The sequence below is a fragment of the Homo sapiens genome, chromosome 11 (assembly GCF_000001405.40).
Source record: "Homo sapiens chromosome 11, GRCh38.p14 Primary Assembly".
Classification (NCBI taxonomy): domain Eukaryota; kingdom Metazoa; phylum Chordata; class Mammalia; order Primates; family Hominidae; genus Homo; species Homo sapiens.
The window spans coordinates 55,869,145-55,892,177 of NC_000011.10; the positions used below are offsets into that span (position 1 = coordinate 55,869,145).

Here is a 23,033-nt window from a genome sequence, read left to right on the forward strand (position 1 = left end):
CCTGCTTTTCTGTCCTTGGTAGACCTCAGGGTAGGTGGTGCCAGGGATGATAAAGAACTTCACCAACTGGGAGAAGAAAACAGGCAAAGGAAGGAAAGGTGAATGAGGAAGAAGAGATGAGGCAACAGGGGTGGGAGAACGTGGTGATAAAGCCAGTGGGGACAGTGTGGTGGCAACTGACAGGAGAGGAGAAGGGGGTCCATGCTCATCAGACCTTCCTTCCTGAACAACATGAGGGGTGCAGGGAGGGCGAGCCCTCAGTGAGTGAATGCAGCAGTTCAAAGAAACAAAAATAGACAGAAATAATCAATGTTCTCCTAGGACACCAGGTTTTTAGAGAGGCCACTGTGAGACCTCTGAATGCCTAATGCCCAATAGTGCTGAGTGGGTAAGTGACAAGAAGCCTGCACCCCCCCCCCCCACAGGCCTGTGCACCTCCTGAGACCGAGGAGCCTGTGTCACCAGTACCTAGGGCTAGAAGAAAGGGCTTCCAAATGGCTCAGGAAGATGAGTGGGCATTTCACTCCACCTCTGGGACCAGATGACCACACCTCCCCTGAGAAATCCCTTACCCAAAATAATTGAACAAAATAATGTTGCTTAAATATAAACTGGCTCATCTGATCACCCCGACACTGACCCCAGGACACCCCCCTCAAGGTGGCTCCAGTTCCCCATCATCTAGACTTTTCTCCCTGCCCTCCCACACTCCCTGAGCCTGGCTGGAGGCCTGCTTGTCCCCTCTGCTGCCCACTCCAAAGAGAATAAGAAACCAAGAGCATGGGCTCGCCATAGGTCAAGGAAAGAGGCTTGGTGACACTTCCTTTGACTTGGAGAATTCCTCTACTAGCAAATCTGCTTCCACATGGCAAAAATGAGAAGTGCTGGGCCAGTAGCCAGGCACACAGCTGCAGAAGCTACCTGGACCTGCCTCATGGGCCAAAGGGAACGGCTGCCCATAGGCAAGCCATGTCTAGAGTGAGTCCAGAGAGACCAGGGAGAGTCTGGGATCCAATCAGGGATGACCCTTCTTTCAGTTGGGTCTGGTGGGTTTTCAAAATCCAGTCTTTCCATTGGGGCCATACCAAAGCTCCGGGGGAGGTCAGGCTTCCCAGTCCCACCAGGACCCCCCCGTGAAGTTGTCCTTTTCTCTCAAGTTGCATACACTGGCCAGGTAAAGGCAGCTTCTACTCACCAGGCAAGTGGCCAGCTCACCTTCGGATTTGCCAAAGAAATCTGGGTCCTGCCCCATACTTGTTGGCTTGGCAGGCTTTTCAAAATGCAGGTATCTCTGGAGCTGTTTTGTGGACACCAGGAGCATTACTTGACAAGCTCTGTGCTGGCCCCAGGGTACCCTGTGCACCTGGGTAAGGCTGGAACACATTGGGAACAGGGATCCAACATGTCCACTCTGGAACAGCGTGGGACCTGGGGAAATTGCCAGTTTTTTGCTGTCCTACCAATGCTATTCTACACATCCCTGGAGACTATGAGCATCGGTTACAGTGTGGTGGTGGCTGGTCAGGACCAGAAATGTCCATTTTTGACCTGGAAGCAGCAGACACCCAAGGCTTAGGGTAGAAGTGGGGGCTCCATACCATTCCCAGTGTCAACTTCCCATGGCAGCAGAAACAGGAAGGAATGTCTGGCAACCCACCAAGGGTCAGATGCCACATCAGCCCGAGCGAAGGTGCCAGACACTAGCTGTTCCAATGACAATTAGACATTCTTGGGAAGGTGGAGCCATTTGTGAGAGCTCAGGATGGGTGTCCTGGAAGTGCCACTTCAAGGCGACTGAGGCCTCTCAAAATCCCTGTGTTAGAGCTGCAGCTCTCCATGTGGGCTGCAGTGCAGTCACCTATGGAGCTTTAGGACAGGCCCAGGGCTCAGCTCCCCGGACCAGTGCCTTCAGAACTTTCGCAGCAGGGATAGCCGGCTTGGAAAGGCATGCCTGGGAGACCATGTGACACTGCCTGGCTGGGTCCTGGGCTGACAGAGGTGAGCGTGGAGCTCGCAGTGACTTGGTAATGCTGTGAATTATGTACGTGTGGCAGGAAGGTGCCACAATGCCAAGGCCCCACGTCTTGGAAATTCCTTGAGGTCCGCATGAGTTTGAACTAAACACCAAGTGCAGTCCTGAAAGGAAAAATAAAAGAAATACCCACATAAGGGACTCTTTGGAACTGAGTCTGGAAGAGAGGGCTGTCTGGTCCACTGCAGGAGAATTTGCCTAAAATAAGTTTGCTTCCCATTGCATTCTCTTTGCTTGTTCTAAACATCACCTCCCCCCTATTTTAATTTGCATCATTCTGGGCTCCTTACTCTTGTTGCATCCTTTTTTTACATTTGAAGGATGTCTGGATTCGATTTACTTAAGAGCATATATGGCTTAATTCTGTATTTCTGGTAATCATCTATTACATTTCCCCCATTTTATCAAATGACACTTTTCCCTCATATCTACTTTTACTATGTAAAAGATTTTCTATACAGTTTATCTAAAACTCCTTGATTAAACAGAGTTTAATTCTAGCAATACATACATGCTTATCTCTGCATTGTTTTATAATTTGATGAGAAATGTTTTTCCCCAATATATGACTGTATGGATAATACTTTTTAAAAAGATACAATAAAATATGATATCTCTTTCTCACTTGATCATGTGGCTGAATGAGTCAATCCCTCCATCAAACAGAAATATCCGGCATCACTTAATCTAATTAATAAAAACATCCAGTGTGCATGTGCACCCACAATGAGAAGAAAAGACCAAAACAAACAGCCAAAAAGGAGAGAATCCCATGATTTCTGTGTAAACTCCTACAGATATCATAAATATTTATTGCTAGAAACAGTATTTTAAATAAAAGGTCTTCAGGAAGGTGTATTAAAACTGCCTTGGATACAAGGGGCCCTATCACTTGTAAAACTTGGCAAATTGGATAACAATTAAAAATACAAAATCACACAGAAAATACTCTTTAATAAATTGAGGTTTTTTTTATTGAGACGGAGTTTGGCTCTTGTTGCCCAGGCCGGAGTGCAATGGCGCAATCTTGGCTCCCTGCCACCTCTGCCTCCTGGGTTCCAGCGATTCTCCTGCCTCAGCCTCCCGAGTAGCTGGGATTACAGGCATGTGCCACCATGCTCGGCTAATTTTGTATTTTTAGTAGAGACAGGGTTTCTCCATGTTGGTCAGGCTACTCTCAGACTCCCAACCTCAGGTGATCCGCCCGCCTCGGCCTTCCAAAGTGCTGGGATTACAGGCGTGAGCCACCGCGCCCGGCCTAATAAATTGATCTTTAAAAACATCTTAATTGAGGTTCTCTAAAGGGAGCCTTTTAGGCAACATGCCCGCTAGGTGTACTGATTGCTAGGGTGGCTGGTGTCAGGCGAATCGATGTGGCTCCCCCAGCTCCTTCCTGGGAGCATTCTAGAAAGACAGCGTGGAAACGCGCGCGGCCTGGTGGTCCCGGGAGCGGCCATGGTGCTCAGCCCCGCGGCCTCACCCTGCCCTCGAACCCCGTGTCAAGCACCCGCGGATTCTCACGTCCTCTTCTTCCAGGGCGGCGGGCGCTTCTCCTGCACCTTGGCCTGGCGCTTCTTCTCGGCCTCCTCAGCCTCCGGTTTCTCCTCCGTGGCCACCTTGTAAGGCTAGTTGGGTATTCGCAGGTGGCCACTGTCCTTGGTGCTGCCCTTCCGCGCCGGCCTCTGGGTCTGGAAGGTGGGCGCGGGCGCCTTGCTGAGGCGGATCCGGGGCACCACCACGTCAGGCCGCAAGCTGCTCCGCAGCAGGCGCTGCAGGGGCAGGAGGCTGGCCTTCCGCGGGGCGGGGTCGACAGAGCCCCAGGACCCCGGCAGCGGGGCAGGTGGGAGGCCGGCTCTTGGGGAGCCCTGCCGGGAGCCCGCGGCTTCTGGGCAGGGCCGCTTGTGCTGCTCTGCGCCCTCCGCTTCGTCCGCCTCCTGCGCCTGCCTCCCCACCCCCCGCCGCGTCGCCAGAATTTCCTCAGCCGCCAGGATTTCCTGCTCCGCCAGCCGCCTCTTCCCCACGCACAGGGAGCTCTGGGGGCACACGGTCTGGCACGCGAGGGCCACGGCGGGGCTGTTAGAGGCTGGTGATCATCCTGACCATGTGGTCCAGGGCGCCCCGGTCCTCCGGGCCACGCACGGAACGCCGCGTCAGCACGGACAGCTCGCAGTCCCTGACCCTCTGCAGGCAGTTCTTCGAGCCCTTGGGCTTCCGCGCCCTCTCGTGGAGCGGAGGCAGCTCAAGCTGGTACTTTTTCCCCAACCGCTGCTGGCAGGGGCGCTCCAGGAGCCTCTGCATGAGGCGGACGTGTAAGTGGCCACTCCTCTGGCGACATCCCACGGCGGGGGCCCTCGCGTGGACACCCGCCCCTGCTAGCTCAGGGCTCGGATGCGATCGGTTCCACCCTGCATGGAGGCTTTCAACCCGAACGCGTGCATCCTTCAAGGTCAAGACCCAGGACATAGTTCAACAAGTAGTTGGTGATGATAGAGTGCCCTGACTGGGCCAGAACAGCCTCTTTAGTAAAACAGCGCAGGAAAGTTATGAAACAGATGCTCAGCTCCTTTCTTCATTTTCACTTTAATTCCGTGATGCCTCTGTGTCCGTCTGACGACAACTCTCCTGGGGTCTGGGACTCTGCTGGTCTTCAATGCCTACTGAGAAGGGTTCCTGGCCATCATCAGGCATGAAAACCTCAAGGACCTCCGTCCTCAACGTGGGATCCCTGGGCCAGCGGCATCAGCCTCACCAGGAAACCTGTTCTTCTGCTTATTCTTGGGCCCCACCCCAGGCCTATTCAAAGAAAGACTCCAGGGGCAGGGCTTGGCAGCCTGTGTTTCCACCAGATCTGTGTTAAAGCTCAAATGAACCATGCCAGGTGATGCTGATGCAGGAAGCACAAAGGTGAGAGCCAGTGTCTAAGGCAACTGTGCCCATGGGGCCAAGGGCAGCTCCTGCCTGTGCAGCTATGATTAGGGTTGCGTTCCCCTCCCTGTCCTGCCAGTTGACTTCAATGTGGGGGCACTCAGCTAAGGCCACCAGGGTATATCCACAAAGTCGTGATAGCAGGCGACATCAAGGTCGGTCTAGCCATTGTGGTCAGTCTCCTGCGCCTTCTCAACGCTCACCCCCCGGCGCACCAACGTCTGCAGCAGCCCCACGCCTCCAGGACGCCCTCCTCCAGGACGTTCTCCACGCCCTCGACGCCGTGCTCCTCCTCCTCCTGGAAAGGGTAGAAAGAGTCGTCCCAGGTGATGCTGCGGGTGTTGGGCAGACTGGAGAAGTCCTGGAACTCTTTGTAGTCAGCGCGGTCCTCCTCGACCTGTGTGCCTAGGAGTGGGGACTGCGGTGGCGGGGTCATGCAGCGCGCCCCCCACCCTGCGGCTGGGTCCCAGCCAGCAGTACCATGCCGGCGGCCGGAGGGGTGGGCGGGGGGCCGAGGATCTGTCCGGGAAAGTCTGGTGCGCGCCAAGTTCCCTGCTTCTTGCTTCTGTGTCCCCAGGGAAGCCCTAGCTCCCGCCACCAGCCCGGTGGAAACCTCCCTTCTTTTACATTATTTTGTTTTTATTTTAATTTTTTAGGACATTGATAAAATCACTTTCTGATTTTTGAAATTCAAAATTAAATAATTTTCAAGTTTACCCTTTTTAAAATGTTTCACTATTTTAATGCTTTTATTTTTTGTATATTTTAATTATTGTAATTTACATCTTCAATTATTATGGAAGATTTTAGAAAAGTCTTTTCACATAATAAAGTCTAATTAATTAACTATTATTCTCTCCTCTATCTCAAATACGTACTTTAACCTTTCAGAACACTTTATGTTTTGAGACTCTTGTTACTTATGTGACATTTTAAATATTATTCTTCACTCTTCTAGTGAATTTTTAATGTCATTCAAAGGGTACATCTTTCTATAGTGAGAATTAAACAGTTCTCAAAAATGTTCTCAAGTATTAGGAATTTCACCTTCCAATGGTATGTTAAGTATGTTCTCCTTCCCTTCTAATGCATATTCCCCATTCCCCGCCCCCTGCTAATTTTGTATTTTATGTAAAGACAAAGTTTTACCATGTTGAACAGGCCAGTCTTGAACTCTTGACCTCAAGTGATCCACCTGCCTAGGCCTCCCAAAATGCTGGGATTACAAAAACAGCAACTAAATGCTGGAATGGTGACTGGGAAATTGTCTAGAGTCTCCATTGATTATCCTCCTCATAACAAGGCAGAAAGCCTTCCTCAGAATTATCTGGACTGACATTACTCATTGTCCAGACCTGTTAAGAGACTCCTGCAACCAGAGCTGTGAGTCTCAAATGTGCTCTTCAATAATGCAGTAGAAGGCCTGAGTTTCCACATAGTAGTATCCTTGAATGCCTGGAGAATTTTAAGGCATAAGAACGTACTGATCCTATGAACTATATGTTTTGTAAAATCTCAGGTTATGTGAGGTGTTTGGACAAATTAAGTTTCAGGGTGATATCCACTATTGAGACAGAAAATTAGTCTAAAGAATTAAGACCTCAAAATCCAGAATGAGAAAAAATTGTTTTGCTTAGAGCCTCCTTATAATTGTCTTACTTGTTTTATAGATTTATATCTATAAATCTATAAGCACTAGAGGACAAGCTCTACCTGATATAGCTGGCCTAGACATATGCAGATTTATTAATTGTAGAAGAAAGAATTATACCTTTCAGGTAAAATAGCTACAAAAAATAATTAGTTGCTGTTTTTGAGACAAGTTCTCACTCTGCAGTCACCCAGGCTGCAGTGCAATGGCACAATCAGAACTCACTGCAGTTTTATACTCCTGGACTCAAGCAATCCTCCCGACTCAGCCTCCTGAGAAGCTGGGACAACAGGTGCACACCACCACTCAAGGCTAATTTTCTGTTTATTTTTTGGTAGAGATAAGGTCTTACTATATTGCCCAGGCTGATCTCAAACTCCTGGCCTCCATTGATTTTTCTGCCTTGGCCTGCCAAAGCACTGGGATTATAAGTATGGCCACTGTAACCAGCTTTAGATCAATTTTATTTCATACAGATAGCTTCCCAACTAAAAATATTTTATGAGAATTCTCTTAATTCAGCAAAGCAATGTTATTACTGACCCAGTCTTCACTTATTTTCAGCTTACATGCAGGAACAAAATTACCTTTATTTTTTAATTTGTTTTATTTTATATTTTCAAGGTGCACAATATGTCGCTTTGAGATACATGTGCATAAGGAAATGATTACTATAATGAAGAAAATTAACAAATGGATCATATCACTTAGCTCTGCTTCTTTTTGATGATAAGAACACCAAAAATCTAGTCCCTCAGAATATTTCCCAAAAACAATATAAGATTATCTAATATACCTACAGGTTGTACATCAGATTCATTTATTCTACATTACTGCACCTTTACAACTTTTGCCCTTCGTTTACCTATTTTCTTCCCACCAATATAACCACCTTTTTGAATGTATTAAACTTATAAAAATAGATTTCAAATATGAGTGGGACCATGAAGTATTTTTCTCTGTGTGTCTGTCTTATTTCACTTAGGAAACCTACCATTTACATGTCTCCTAAATTTAGTACAGAAATAAAGTGCTAGTCAAGAATGTGTCTCTGTTTTGTTAGATTAATTTTTTTCCAAGTTATCCTCTTTATCAATTTTTACTTTTTGTACCATAGAAGAGTGAAAATTCTTGTATTTAAAAAAACTGTAACCAGGCTATTGATAAATAACTTCTTTTAGGGATAAAAATCTCAGGAAGTTCAAGATTTATGTATTAATGATTGACAATGTTCTTAGTGTTCTCTCTTTGATTTATTTCAATTGTAAGTAAGTCTTGGTGATATTCTAACATAAATTCTGATAGGTGAAGAGAATAAATTAAGTATCTCTAGGAGAATCAATACGATAAGATTATCTTGGTTAAATGGCTAAGAAAATGTGGTAAATAGACACAAAAACTGTTTCATCTTCCAAAATCAGAGTCAAATACTAAGTGATCGTAAAGTAGCTAATTCTGTCTTTCTGCCAAAGTGAATCTGAGCTAAAGTAGAAGAATGTCAGGAATAAATTTTTCCTTGAAATCTAGCAACAAATAATGTAATTAAATTTTGAGGCTTTGACTGTTGCATAGAGTTTTAGCATCAACAGAAAAGCTCGCAAAACATAGGTGACAATCAAAAAGGAGTGCTGGGTTGGAGCCCTAAGGTGAGTAATTTTATCATCTCAGATCACTTGGAAAAAAGCAGCGAGTCCAAAAGAAGCTGGTGATAAGCTTTCTCTCTGCTAAACCCTAATCTTCTGCATGAAATATGTGGAGGCAGAAGAGAGACAGTTTATTATAGTCTACGTGGCATAGAGTGAAGGAATAAGAGAATATTTCTGATAAGTATTTTCAAAATTTGGAGAATCATTCCTATCCAAATCGTTCATTTAAGGGACTAAAATACAAATAAGATATTTCTTGCCACATAATCCTCAGCTAGCCAGGCTCTAAAAAGGACAACACTGGACACCTCGACAGTGGTAAAAAGCAGGGTTTACTCCACTCTTGAATAACTAAGAACTGGTGCTAACCTTAGACAGCAGCTTATCTATTTGGTTGAGGTTCAGCTTTGTTTCATTGAACAAATCTCTTGGGTTATTTTCAGCTGTGCCAGTCATTTAATTTGTTTTCTGAATCAAACGATAAGAATAAATATGGCTTAGAGTGTAAACAGCATTCCCAGATACATTACAACTTGGTGTCCCATCTGCCTAATTTTGAACCTATAGGACAGGAATAAAAAGCATTGTGAGAAACACCAGGTGATTTCCTTAAAGCCAAATACTCTTGTCCCTCCTACTTTTTTTCTGGCTTTCCTGCTGCATTGGACATGGCAATAAATTGGAGTTTCCTGCACACAGAGGTAAAATTCACTTGTTGAAGATGTCAGTCTTCTTCTTGACCAACTCCTATATTGGTACAAACATGTTAGAGAAATGCACCTTCTGAATCATTTCTAAGTCAATAATATATTCTGGGTTGTTTAACATGTATAAAATAGTGAGTGATTCGTTTACATTTAGGTTAATTTGAGGACATGGCAAGATCAGAAGTTTTGGGAATCTAGGCTCACATTAATATTATTTTGAGGTCCCCTCATTTGGGTAATAGGTTCTGGGAAAGATGACTGAGTAGGTTATTTGAAGTTACCACAGAGCATAGACTCTCTGGGCCTCTTCTCCCTTCACTTCTGGAGAGAACGTCTTCAAGACTCAGACTTTACCAGGACATTAATTAATGACAAAACGACTCACTGGGTTTTTTATTACAGAAGAAATAGAAAATGCTTTCCAGATGGTAGGGAAATAATATCTTTAGAAACTGACTCCAAATTTCACACTGAACTTAGTGAAAGATGCATCTTGTGAAATGTCCTACATACTTCTATGTTTTTTACAGGGTTCTGGAGACCTATTACACAGGTGAGTGTTTACCTAGATTTTGGCATATATTCTTTCAGTTTCCATGAATATCAAAGCAGGCTCTACCAAAGTCATGGTATAAATGATTAAGATACTGATACTACCTTTTTTTGCATCTGCTTTCACTCTCACACCAGAAAAGACAAGAACACTAAATAAATAAATAAACAAATAAATGAATAAATAAATAAACAAATAAATATATAAATAAATAGTGAAATAAAAAAATATTTATTCCTGATTTTGTTTTATTGCTTAAAAGCCTGCATAGGTGAAAGATAAAGTTTTGTTTTGTGGATGGTGAGAAAGTCACCAGAGGAAGCAGGAGAGAAGTGGGGGAAGTATTTTAGCAGTGAAAAAGTTGATGATTTGTTGTTCATACCTACATACATATCAGTTAACAGTCCTGAAAAATATGTTGAAGAAACTGTGTAGTGTTAGAACTGTATAAGTCTCTAGGGAAGTCTCTTGTTTCTAAAAGGCAGGTCTAGCTGCCTAGAACAAACTTCACATTCTTTATCTTGAAAAGGAAGCAGCAGATGCAGCAGTCTCCCCAGAACCCCGCTATTTCAGACAAAGATGTCAGGGGAGTCTGCCAAGAAGTGGAACTCAGAATTTCATTTCCAAATATTCTGAAGGCCATAAGGCTAAGGAACCTTACACATGTGGGGCAGAAAAAAAGAAAGATCAGACTGAATTCTGACTCAGACTCTCCCACTATGCTTTAAAATTTGGAAACTGTAAATAGAAATTAATTCCAAAAAGGAAGTAATAATTTTTGAATAATCCAATTTGTGGATTCAAAGGATTCTCATGAACTGGCTTTTAAATAGAAATAGTGATTTTTATTTATTTTATGGCTGTAGATGTTGTAACTGCAGGTTTTTCCTTCCAGGAGTGAGTCCGTGCTGCTGCACGTGTCCCAGCCTCTGAATCTAGAGCTCAGTGCAGGGCCCATCACTGGACTGAGGGACAGGCTCATCCAATTCTGAGGTAAGTCTCCACCCATAGACAGCACTTCCACTATCTAAATATTATTACTGTTAGGACCACATAGGTAATATTTCACCCTTTATCAGATATTTTACTTCCTTATAGACATAAGTGAACAACATAATCATGCAACCCTTTTGTATCTGTGTCTGTATAGTCAGATTTATAGCACTAAGTTTGAAAGATAGTGAAAAACAAATACATTTTGGCCTCATATATACTGAGTAATGTAATGGGAAAAACCAGTAGTGTAGCAAATTTTAAAAAGGAGCAAATGGAACAATGCTCAGAATGAAGGTGAGTTAGTTAATGTTAAATACAAAATTTTACATTTCCTTAGTGTATTCATTTGAACAGCTAAGAACTGTTCTTTTGGGGATTATGGTTTAATGGGGATTGCTGGGGTTTTTAAATTTTTTAAATGGATGTTTATCATGAATTGTAAAAAAAATTAGTTAATGGGTAAACATAAAAACAAGAAATCGTTTTGTGAATACAAGTAAAATTACAAACAAAAAGAAGTTCAGTTTAATTGCAATATGAAAAGCTACAGGTTAAGTTTAAAATCCAGCTTTTCAGCCCCAAGCTAGCATGGAGGACCACAGAGAGACTGGTAAAAGATTTTACAGAAATCTGCTTTAAATTGTCACTTATGACATGTACTTACGGATTTTTATCCAGTCATCAAGAGCAGTTCTTGAGTAACTGAAAATCTTCACATTCTTTCCAAAATGATAGCACTAGTTTTTAAGAATAAGAAACATTTCTAAATAATAATCTTGATAACAGCATACTATTTAGGGCATATAATGTGCAAATTTTGCTTTGAAAATTGGGTTGAAAGAAGTTGGTCCTTACATTTGGCTCTCAATATGTAAGTTTTCAAACCATTTTTAATACCTGTGGTTATTGTTTTGTTTGTCTTGTAGTTAAAATTAATCATCTCTATGCTTTATTAGAAGTTACAAGCAAAATTGTCCTTGTGACTTTACATTTCCTGGTAAATTAACTTCTTGATAGAACAATTTTTGCTTATTGACACATGTCTATGCATGTTTTGTTTCTTTCTCTTTTATTTATTTATTTATTTTTGCAGTGGATATTACTCTGAATCACGATGAGCCAACAGTCATATCTTTCGATGTGGAGATTTGAGAAGCATGTGTATTGGATGTGACCGTCCAAATCCGCCCCATATCACTGCAACACCTACAAGTTTTCTTGCATGGGGTGCTCAGACTTTCACCTCCGGCAAATATTACTGGGAGGTCCATGTGGGGGACTCTTGGAATTGGGCTTTTGGTGTCTGTAATAAGTACTGGAAAGGGAAGAATACGAATGACAATATATATGGAGAGGAGGGACTCCTTAGTCTTGGATGTGCCAAGAATGACATTCAGTGCAGTCTCTTTACCACCTCCCCACTTACACTGCAATATATCCCAAGACCTACCAGCCACATAGGATTATTCCTGGATTGTGAAGCTAGAACTGTGAGCTTCGTTGATGTTAATCAAAGCTGCCTTATATACACCATCCCTAATTGCTCCTTCTCACCTCCTCTCAGGCCTACCTTTCGGTGTATTCACCTCTGACCAGAGATAAATCAGAAATGTGTTCATCTGCTGTGAGAACCCCTTTATTCCAGGAAGCCCTCTTCCTTGTGCCTTATCAAACAGGACAAATAGGTTCTGTTTTATGTCTTGAATTGCCTCCTAATGTTATTAAAACTCATTTATTGTGTTACTATTAAAAATGGTAAAAACACTAAAAGTATATGTTTTGGTTCTTTATTAATTTTTGAAAAATCATCATTCATGATCATGGCATAAAATATATTCTGTTTTTTTTTCTTTATTTCTGACTGCCACTGAGTGAAATAATAGATGACAGACATGTCTGAATGGAGTTAAAATCAATGGAAGAGAGTCGGGATCTTTTGCTTCATGCAAAAGCTTGGAGTGAAGTCTTAATGATAGCTGGGAAATGTTTTTCTTTCTCTTTACCTAACTATATTGCACTTCTCCATCACATTTCATTTTACTAATCTATCCTTTGAGTTAATATTATTTGACCTTCCATGCTGGGCTTCATTTTGGAATTCTCACCACATAGATAAATAATCCTGCATTATTAGTGTGCTCTTCTACATTGAAATACACAAGGTGGTCAGAACAATGCTGGATTAATTGAATTTTAAAAAATAACTAAATATTGACTCCTACCTCAAAACACACACAGTCATTTCCAAATAGATTCCAGTTCTGAAGGTAAGGGGAACATGATACAATATTCTCATAAGGATTTCTTAACCAGGACAAAAATTAACAATTAAAAAAATTAGTAGGTTTATATTAATGAGGACTTCTGTGTTTCAAAAAACATGATACAAGAATTGAAATGCAAACAATTAGTGGAGAAAGATATTCACCTGAACATATATAAAATAAAATGCAATACATGTGCATGATGAATACTTAAAATGTATTTTAAGTATTTTTCCAGATTCTTCCAGAGTGGCACAGAATAAACTTGGATGGCAGAGTCAATGATGAGATTAGCTGTGGAAATGGGAAACCGTTTTTTGGAGGCAGTAGTAATGCTGCGAACTTATGAAAACAACCAAGTATTCAGTAGCAATTAAAATGTGTCTCCATAAGATTATTTTACAGATGCGTATCTGAAATCTGAAATTTGGGAGAACATTCTACTAATGTTCTCCAGTGAAAAAATACAGCTGGAAGAAAGAAGGGAGGGAAGATGAAGGAGAGAGAAATAGAATGCATTTGAGAGAAAATGCTATTTAGACTAAAATAGAATACTGCAGATACCATGACAAAGTGGTTAAGGTGTGTCTTATGGAGCAGAAATGGCAGCAAATACCACAGTAAAGAGATTTACCATTGGATTGTTAGTTCCGGCTTTTATTCTGTCAATGTTGTGGCTTCTAAACACATCAGTAATCTCCTTTGATCCATGTGCTAATTAACAACCAACACTCTGCCCCCTCTCCCAGATTCTTTCATCATTTTAAACCTAATCTAATTCTAATCCGGATGGTCACTGTAACACATGTAATCACCTAAGAATTTTAAAAATATTTTTGATGAATAAATGAAAAATTAGCTAGGTGCAATGGCATAAACCTCTAGTCTTTTTTACTTTGAAAGCTGAAGTGGGAGGATTACTTGAGCCCTGGAATTCAAGGCTGCGGTGAGCTAAGACTGTGCCACTGCACTCCAGAGGGTGAAACTTTCTTTGGTATAAATAAATAAATGTGCACTTAGAGGAATGCTTGTGCCTTGGGAAGAAACTCAAGAAACAGTTTAATCAACTTAGTTAATTTCTAGCATATGTTTACTCTGATAAGATTGATGATAGATATGCCTCATTCAGGCAGTGGTTTTTACAATGATAGTGTGATGCTAATTTAATCAGTGATGAAAAGGCGTGTACTAAATATTGCATAAACCTAATCATCTCTGTCTCCACCTTTCTTAATACCCTAAATATCACTAAATAGGTGGTTGTGGTCTTCAAAGATTCACCTAAATGGATGTAGAAGAGACAAGCTCATATTTCTCCAGAGGAGGACAGCACTTAGAGTTAACTGCATTCAAGTGATGACCTCTGAAAGTCAACTCTGCAGGGAATGAGCTCCTGATCTTGGGGAGTACTTAAAAGAATTTTTTCTTGGAAGAATTACTGCAGGAAACATTCATAGAACCTTGGGGTGAGTGCAACTTCTATGGAGAAAATTATTTCTCTCTTCCTTTAAAATAGTAAATTACAGTGATAAAAATATCTAACTGTCTAAACTTACCGAATGATCTTATTTGTAACTCATATTATTGCTATTCATTTTATGACATGAGGTTATGACATGAGGTTATTGTTGTCATTTTGTGTGTTCCAAAAGTGTTTGATATATTTTTGAAAAATTTTAGATATCTAGTGTTTGCTGCAATAGATTTGTATGCATCATGGGTATATGGAATTCATATTAAAACATATATATGTGTACTGCATGTACTAATATTGGTACACTTAATTAAGTAAAAAAGGATAATTATTGAATACTGTAAATGTTGTGCTTTCATAACCTTAAGCTTTTAGACATGATTTTAAGTTACTGAGGCAATGATGAGTTAAAAATGGTGATACTAAAGGAAATAAGAATGCTCTCCAAAATACCCTAGCTTAGAAATCAAAACACGATTGTTTAGCAGATAACTGTATAAGGAATGATTTGATACTTGATACTAGCTGTCATTTTAATTGAGGTTTACCTCAGATGAAACTGTGAAAAATTCCTTGAAATGGCTCAGATGGCCTCTGAAAAATATTTGCAATTCTTAAATTTTCACTCTTGGCACTTAAATTCAGCAGTGTTTAGTAAAAGAGAGTAAGGTAAAGGACTTCAAACTGCCAAGGCAAAGATTACAGTTTGTATTGGTCAGGGTTCTCCAGAGACACAGAACCATAGGATGTGTACATAACTATAACTATATATATATATATATATATATATACACATACCAAAAATACTTACAATTGTGGTACAATTGCCTATCGTATACCATACAGGTTTGTAGCCTAGGAACAATATGCTATACTGTATACCATAGGTGTGGTTTGTGTAAGTATACCCTATGATGTTCAAACAATAACGAGACTGTCTAACGCGTCCCTCAGATCATATATCTGTCCTCACTCTACACATGACACTGTACAGGAGAGGAAGTCCACTAGGGGAATTTGTTCCCTTGATTATGGAGTCTGAGAAGTTGAACATAGGCTGTCATTAAGGTAGTGTCCTGGAGATACCAATATCCTGGCTGAGTTAGAATCAGCTTCAGGAGAAAGAGAGGAAACTGCCTTGTCTCTGCCCTTTATCTTCAGTCTGAGCTACCAGCTGATTGGATAGTGTCCACCCACACTGAGGGCTGCTGTTGCCCACTCAGCTCACCAACTTACATGACTCTCCGGAAACACCTTCACAGACTCACCCAGAAATCATGCTTTACCAATTCTCCATGTATTATTTAATCCAGTCAAGTCAACACCTATAATTAACCATAATACCATAGTAATATAATGATATATATTTCAGTTTTTAAAAAACTGACTATATGTCAGTTCATAGTTTGAGTAGCCCAAAGAAGAAGTTAATTTAAGCCATAAGAAAAATAAACCCAACATTTTTCATTATTTATTTTATCTCCTAGTGATCCTAGACTGGTTTAATTGCTGTCTTTTTTTTTTTAATCTGGTCGGTTGGTTTGTTCTGGGGTTGTTTTTGTTTTAAAGAGCCGGCTTCTCGGTCCCTCTCTCTAAAAATATGTCATAGCAACCTCTGACCATCTTCTCATGTTTTGTTACCCAATGTAGGTTTTCTACTCCTCTCCCATAGTCATTCAGTTGTTATTTGAAAGAGAAATAGGGACAAGCATGTTTCATTCTAGACCACTTAAGATTAAAACCCGAGTTTCATGTCGACATCCAGGGAGTAGGTTTTTGAACAGATTTGCATTATGCTATGGGCAGGAACCAGGAGTAGAAGAGGTTGTGAGTCATCTAGTCAGCAGTGTCTGCTAAAAAGCCTAAAGACTCTCTTTGTGTTTGAATTTTTCATTTTTGTTACAGAGGAAATAGTTTGTTCCGCTTTAATGAGCACTGTCAAGAAGAAAATATAGCTATCACATATCACCACATGTTCACGGATTTTCACCAACCCAGACCCCAAAATGACATGCTGCTCTTTCTTCTTCAGAAACATGAATTCTGGAATCTTGCAAGTCTTCCAGAGGGCACTCACCTGTCCCATCTGCATGAACTACTTCCTAGACCCAGTCACCATAGACTGTGGGCACAGCTTTTGCCGGCCCTGTTTGTACCTCAACTGGCAAGACACGGCAGTTCTTGCTCAGTGCTCTGAATGCAAGAAGACAACGCGGCAGAGAAACCTCAACACTGACATTTGTTTGAAGAACATGGCTTTCATTGCCAGAAAAGCCAGCCTCCGGCAATTCCTTAGCTCTGAGGAGCAAATATGTGGGATGCACAGAGAGACAAAGAAGATGTTCTGTGAAGTGGACAAGAGCCTGCTCTGTTTGCCGTGCTCCAACTCTCAGGAGCACCGGAATCACATACACTGTCCCATTGAGTGGGCTGCTGAGGAACGCCGGGTAAGTGATGCCTCTGAAGATCTATTTCTATACAGGACACATGAAATTCTTGTAAGTCTATTTCCTTCGAGATTGGATGATGCCATCTCTGTGTCCCCTTAAGCATGTCTGTTATGAGCTTCCTTGACTTCACACCTCTCAGATTTGACAAACATGAGGAGAAACAAAGCAAACTCTCTTTTCTGTGGGTTAATTTGTCTCTCATTTTGGGTCCTTCGTATATCAGAGTGTGAATGATACTTTATTGTCCTCACTTGTGCTTCAATTCGTGGCTGTTTTGCAGGAGGAGCTCCTAAAAAAAATGCAGTCTTTATGGGAAAAAGCTTGTGAAAATCTCAGAAATCTGAACATGGAAACCACAAGAACCAGATGCTGGAAGGTTAGTACCGTATGACTCTACCTTCTCCGGGAACTTATAGTGAACAAATGGGTGACTCTTAAAATAGGAACTTGATCTCAACCCATAATGTTTCTGGAATTCAATAAACAAGGAAAAAACACTTGAGAAAAAAACACCCTAATTTTTTATATAAGTTAGTGTGACTCTTTGGTAGGATATCTAATCAGACCACAGATGTTACCCAAGCATGCTCATCTGTTTCCATACAAACCTATAGCAATACCCCAGCAAATACAAGAAACTGGGACACTTCACACTCTTCCCAATGGGCTGCCTGGATAAATTCTGGACACAAGAGTTATTTGTCAGTCATGGAAATTTCAGGTGACCCTTCTAAGGCTGAGTCAGTATGAATTTGAATCCTGGTGGGCAAGTAGATTGAAATGTGAGCTAAATTTCAGGCAGAAGGAGCAAGAGCACAACCTTAGAGAAAGCATGAAATGAAATATCAGCACTAATTAATATTGAATAAGCCATAACACATAATGGGAAAAGTGGCGAGAAATGTACACTTGTGTCTTGATGAAGACATAAATATGTGAGAAATATGGGAACTAGTATTTAATATAAGGAGAAGTCTAAGGACTTGAGAAGAATTCTAGAAATGATTTTCTCTTTGTGGATGTTTATATTGAGGGTATGATATCTGATATTCATTCATTAATTTATTCTAATATTCATTCATTGAAAGGTATTTTATGAGTACCTAGCCTATGTCAAATATCAACTTAGAAAATTAAGGTGTAAAGAAGAAAGAAAACACACAAATCTTGCCATGGAAATGAGAAAAGCAAATGGTCACCATGCAGATATGTGAAGTACATGATGTGTTAGAGTGTAGTAGTGTCTTTGGAGAATAATCAAGCAGGAAAGTAGAAAAGGAGCACAGAGGCCAGGGACTGGGGATGAGGGTTTGAGTTTTAAATAGGGTGGTCAGAAAAAAGGCTCATGGAAAAATTCACACTGAAACAAAATCTTGATCAGGAGGAAATGTGTATATCCTCCTGTTTGCCTTCCTCTTCCTCATAAATATATGAATATATATGTGTATCTGGATGTTGGTATATATATATATATATATGGATACATTTGAGGAATATATATATACACACACACAGATACACATATATATTCCTCATATATCCATATATACCTATATTTGAGAAATATATATATGAGTACATATATGAGAAATATGTATATATATATGAAAATAATTCTAGGTATAGAAAACAGCATGTACAGTAATATTTAATTTGCATTTATTTGGGGGTTTGAGGAACCACAAAGAAGCCCATGTTGCCGATTAGGGTGAGTTTGGAAGAGAATAAATGAAACCTTATTAGAATATGTTATGCTGGGTGAAATGCATTGAGTTGACAATGCTAGTCTGGGTCATGTCATCATTTGTCAGATAATGGTTTTACATAACTTGCCCCAGTTCTCCAAAGTAGAAATAATGGTTTCTTACCTAGTCAATATAACTCGATAGTTTGATTCTTAAGCAAGAACTGTGTTTTCTTTCTATAAATGTGGTGTGGAAGAGGGAAATCCATTTTTATATAACTATCTTAGAAAACATTTTATCATTAATCAAGTAAATGTAACTGGGCAGAAACAACTATGTTGATATTAGTACAGAAAAAAAAATAAAAGGGATAAAATTTTGTGGAATCTGAGAATTGACAAGATTGAGGATTAAAATATTGGGTGTTTAGAATGCTAAGAGGAATCAGTGAAATTCAAGAGAAGATGGGTAAAACATTTCTATTTTGACTAATTGTCACTGCAGGATTATGTGAGTTTAAGGATAGAAGCAATCAGAGCTGAATATCAGAAGATGCCTGCATTTCTCCATGAAGAAGAGCAACATCACTTGGAAAGGCTGCGAAAGGAGGGCGAGGACATTTTTCAGCAACTCAATGAAAGCAAAGCCAGAATGGAACATTCCAGGGAGCTTTTAAGAGGAATGTATGAGGATCTGAAGCAAATGTGCCATAAAGCAGATGTGGAGCTACTCCAGGTATGGACTGACCATGGGGTATCATGATGTTGAACATTCACATACATGGGTGTTTTTCCTCTCTCCTGAACTCCGTCTCCCCCTTCACTTCCATTATTTGTTTCCAAAAACACGATTCCATAACTAATGCTACTTGGTTGGGAGGGTATAGCCTCTCCTAGTGATTCTACTAGACCGAAGGTCCCTCCTACTTCATCCACCAGCAACAAAACTTTGTAGAATGGCTAAGGTAACAGACAGCACCAAGAAATATTTCCCATCAAAAGTCACTGATTAATTTAGGATTTTTGAAAGTGGAAAAAATGAGAAGTGATTCATTGGCATTTAGGCTAATTTGGAGACATGGCATGATGGAGAAGTTGGGGAATCTAGGATCACACTAATATTATTTTGGGGTCCACTCATTTTGGTAACAGGGCTTAGGGAAGAAGACTGAGTAGCTTCTTTATGGTTACCACAGAGCATAGACTCTGTGGGCCTCCTCTCCCTTCACTTGTGAAGAGAATGTCTTCAAGACTTAGACTTTATCAGGACATTAATTCATGACATATGATAGACTGGGATTGTCATGAGAAAAGAAACAGAAAATGCTTTCCAGGAGGGAACATTGTAGGAAAATAGTATCTTCAGAAACTGTCTCCAAATCTCACTCTGAACTTACTGGAAGATGCATCTTGTGGAAAGCGCTAAGCCTTTCTATTTTTTTTTTTTTACAGGCTTTTGGAGACATATTACACAGGTGAGTGCACACCAAGATTTTAGCAGATGCTTTCAGTTTCCACAAATATCAAGCAGGAACTTTGATATTGAAGGTATAATTGATTCAGATAGTGATACTGCCTTGTGCTGGTTGTACTTTCTCCATCCCCCACCCCATGTAGTCATCTATTTTGTTGCCATACTCAGTGACTTTATTAAGCAGCTCAATGAAAGTTCTGCAAAAGCAAAAAAATAAATAAATAAATAAATAAAACAAAAAATAAATAAACGAAAGAAAAATAAAGGAAGTGAGCATCTGTATTCCTAATTTCCTTTTTATTGCTCAAAACATTCATATTTGAAAGAGAAAATATTACATTTTCTACATGGCTACAAAGTCAACCAGGGGAAGCCAGAGAGAAAAGGGGAAAGTATTTTAGCAGTGAAAAGTGTTGATGATTTCTAGTTTATATTTAAATATATAATTCTGAAAAATGGATGAAGCAAACTATTCGGAATGTTTGAACCGTGTAGGCCTCCAGAGAACCTCAACTACAAAAGGCAGATCTCCCTGCCTGGAGCAAGTTTCAACACCCTGGCCTTGAGAAGGGAGCAACAGACGCAGCAGTCTTAAAAATAACCCCACTTTTCCAGACAGTGATTTCAGGAATTTCTGGTGAGGTCTGGAACCCAGAATTTCATTTTTGATTATTCTCCCAGTCTTAAGACTAATGATCCTTACTAACTAGGAGCAATACGAAGAAAGATCCTAATGAATTCTCAGTCAGATAGACTTTTCCATCGTGCTTGAAAATGAGGAACTGTGAATAAGAATGGATTTGAAAAATAAAATGATAATTTTGGAATTAGCAAATGTGTGGGTTAAAGGGATTCTCATGAAATGTCTTTTAAATAAGAGTGGTGTTTTTTATGTATTTTTTTTGGCTGTAGATGTGATAACCCTATCTTTCCCCTTGCAGGTATGAGTCTCTGCTGCTGCAAGTGTCTGAGCCTGTGAATCCAGAGCTCAGTGCAGGGCCCATCACTGGACTGCTGGACAGCCTCAGTGGATTCAGAGGTGAGTGTCAGCCCATTGGCAGAATTCCCACAGTCTATTACTTCTTGTTAGAATCATGGGGGTAGTATTTTACCCTTCATCAAATCTTTATTTCATTTCAGCAGGAAGTGAACCATATGACTATGCAACCCTTTTATATCTGTGTTTCTATTTATAGTCCAAATTATAACATGAAGAGTACAACATAGTGAAAAACAAATATGTTCTGGGCTCACATGGATAGAGTTATATATTGGGTAAATGGAATGACATAAGAAATAAAAAATTGAATAAATGGAAAAATGCTCAGAAGGAAGCATAATAATCCAAGGTTACATAAAAATTTTACATTTCTTTACTGTATTTCATTTGAATTGTTAAACACATTTCATTGGGGAATAGAGTTCACTGCAGTTTGTTGGAGTATTTGTACTTTCTTACAATAAATATATTTTATTGATATAATGTAAAATTTGACTTAACATGTAAAAAGAAAGAAGAAATTATTATGTAAATAGGAAGTAAAAATGGAAATGATAATTTCAGTTTAGTTACAACATGAAGAGCTAGGTGTAAAATCCAAAATTCGGTTTCAGTCTAGAGCTAGCACGGATGTCCGCAAAGTGACTGGTAAAAGATTTTGCAAAAATCTGCCTTAAGTTACCACTTATAATTTGAACATATGGACTTTTATCCAGTTATCTAGAGCGGTGCTTGAGTAAGCTAAAATCTTCCCATTCTTGCCAAAATTATATCACTAGTATTTAAGAACAAGAAATATTTTAATAATAATGACCTTGATAGCTAAAGGGCATTCAGGGCATAAAATAATTCATTTTTACATTGGAGATTGGATTGAAACAGGCTGGTCTTATATTCGACTCTCAATTTTTAAGTTTTCAATAAATTTTCAATGTGTTTCTAGGGTTTTGTTCTTCCTATAGAGAATATTAATCATCCTTATACTTTATTAAATGTTGTAGTCACAATTCTCCTGTCCTTGTAACTTCAAATTTCTTGGTAAAGTAAACTCTTGGTAGAACAACATTTCCCTCAAGAATTCTAATTTCTATTAATTACATGTATCTATATTTTTTAAAAATTATTTTTGCAGTTGATTTTACTCTGCAGCCTGAAAGAGCCAATAGTCATATCTTCCTGTGTGGAGATTTGAGAAGCATGAATGTTGGATGTGACCCTCAAGATGATCCCGATATCACTGGAAAATCTGAATGTTTTCTTGTATGGGGGGCTCAGGCTTTCACATCTGGCAAATATTATTGGGAGGTTCATATGGGGGACTCTTGGAATTGGGCTTTTGGTGTCTGTAACAATTATTGGAAAGAGAAGAGACAGAATGACAAGATAGATGGAGAGGAGGGACTCTTTCTTCTTGGATGTGTTAAGGAGGACACTCACTGCAGTCTCTTTACCACCTCCCCACTTGTGGTGCAATATGTTCCAAGACCTACCAGCACAGTAGGATTATTCCTGGATTGTGAAGGTAGAACCGTGAGCTTTGTTGATGTTGATCAAAGTTCCCTGATATACACCATCCCCAATTGCTCCTTCTCACCTCCTCTCAGGCCTATCTTTTGCTGTAGTCACTTCTGACCAGAGAAAAGTCAGAAATGTGCCTGTATGCTCTGGGAACCTGTTTATCCCAGAAAGCCCTCTTTTTCGCACCTCATCAAACAGAACAAATAAGTTATATTTAATGTCTTTAGTTGCATTCTAATGTCATCAAAACTCATTTATAGTGTTTCTATTAAATATGGTGAAAACATTAAAACCATGTGTATTGATTCCTTTTTAAATCATTTTTGGAAAATCATTACCCATGATGTATGGCATAGAATATATTATCTGGTTTTTAATTATTTCTGAATGTCACAAAGTGAAATAATAGATGACAGAGTTGTCTAAATGAAGTTAAAATCAATGGAAGAAAGTAGAGATCTTGGGCTTCATGAAAAAAGTTGGAGTAAAAAGACTCAGTGGTAACCTGGAAATATTGTCTTTCTCTTCATCTAACAATATTATACTTATCCATGTGTTTTATTTATGAACCTATACTTTGAGGTAATCTTATTTGACCTCCTATGCTGTGCTTATCTTTGTAAATCTCATCTTATAAACAAAATGCTCATGCATTATTA

At 40.0% G+C, this 23,033-nt stretch overlaps 1 protein-coding gene and 2 pseudogenes across 1 annotated transcript; 2 read left to right on the forward strand and 1 right to left on the reverse strand.

Annotated features, from left to right (window-relative positions):
- Nucleotides 1-3,236: 3,236 nt before the first annotated feature.
- Nucleotides 3,237-5,440, reverse strand: ANKRD33BP6 (ANKRD33B pseudogene 6; annotated as a pseudogene).
- Nucleotides 5,439-12,102, forward strand: LOC107984354 (tripartite motif-containing protein 49D-like; annotated as a pseudogene).
- Nucleotides 12,103-14,152: 2,050 nt separating this feature from the next.
- Nucleotides 14,153-22,666, forward strand: TRIM51 (tripartite motif-containing 51). Its single transcript, NM_032681.4, has 7 exons — nucleotides 14,153-14,240; nucleotides 16,281-16,695; nucleotides 16,979-17,074; nucleotides 18,888-19,118; nucleotides 19,835-19,857; nucleotides 20,798-20,895; nucleotides 21,989-22,666. Exons 2-7 carry the CDS (start codon nucleotides 16,285-16,287, stop codon nucleotides 22,486-22,488), a joined length of 1,359 nt encoding a protein of 452 aa, NP_116070.2. The 5' UTR covers nucleotides 14,153-14,240; nucleotides 16,281-16,284; the 3' UTR covers nucleotides 22,489-22,666.
- The last annotated feature ends 367 nt before the right edge of the window (nucleotides 22,667-23,033 follow it).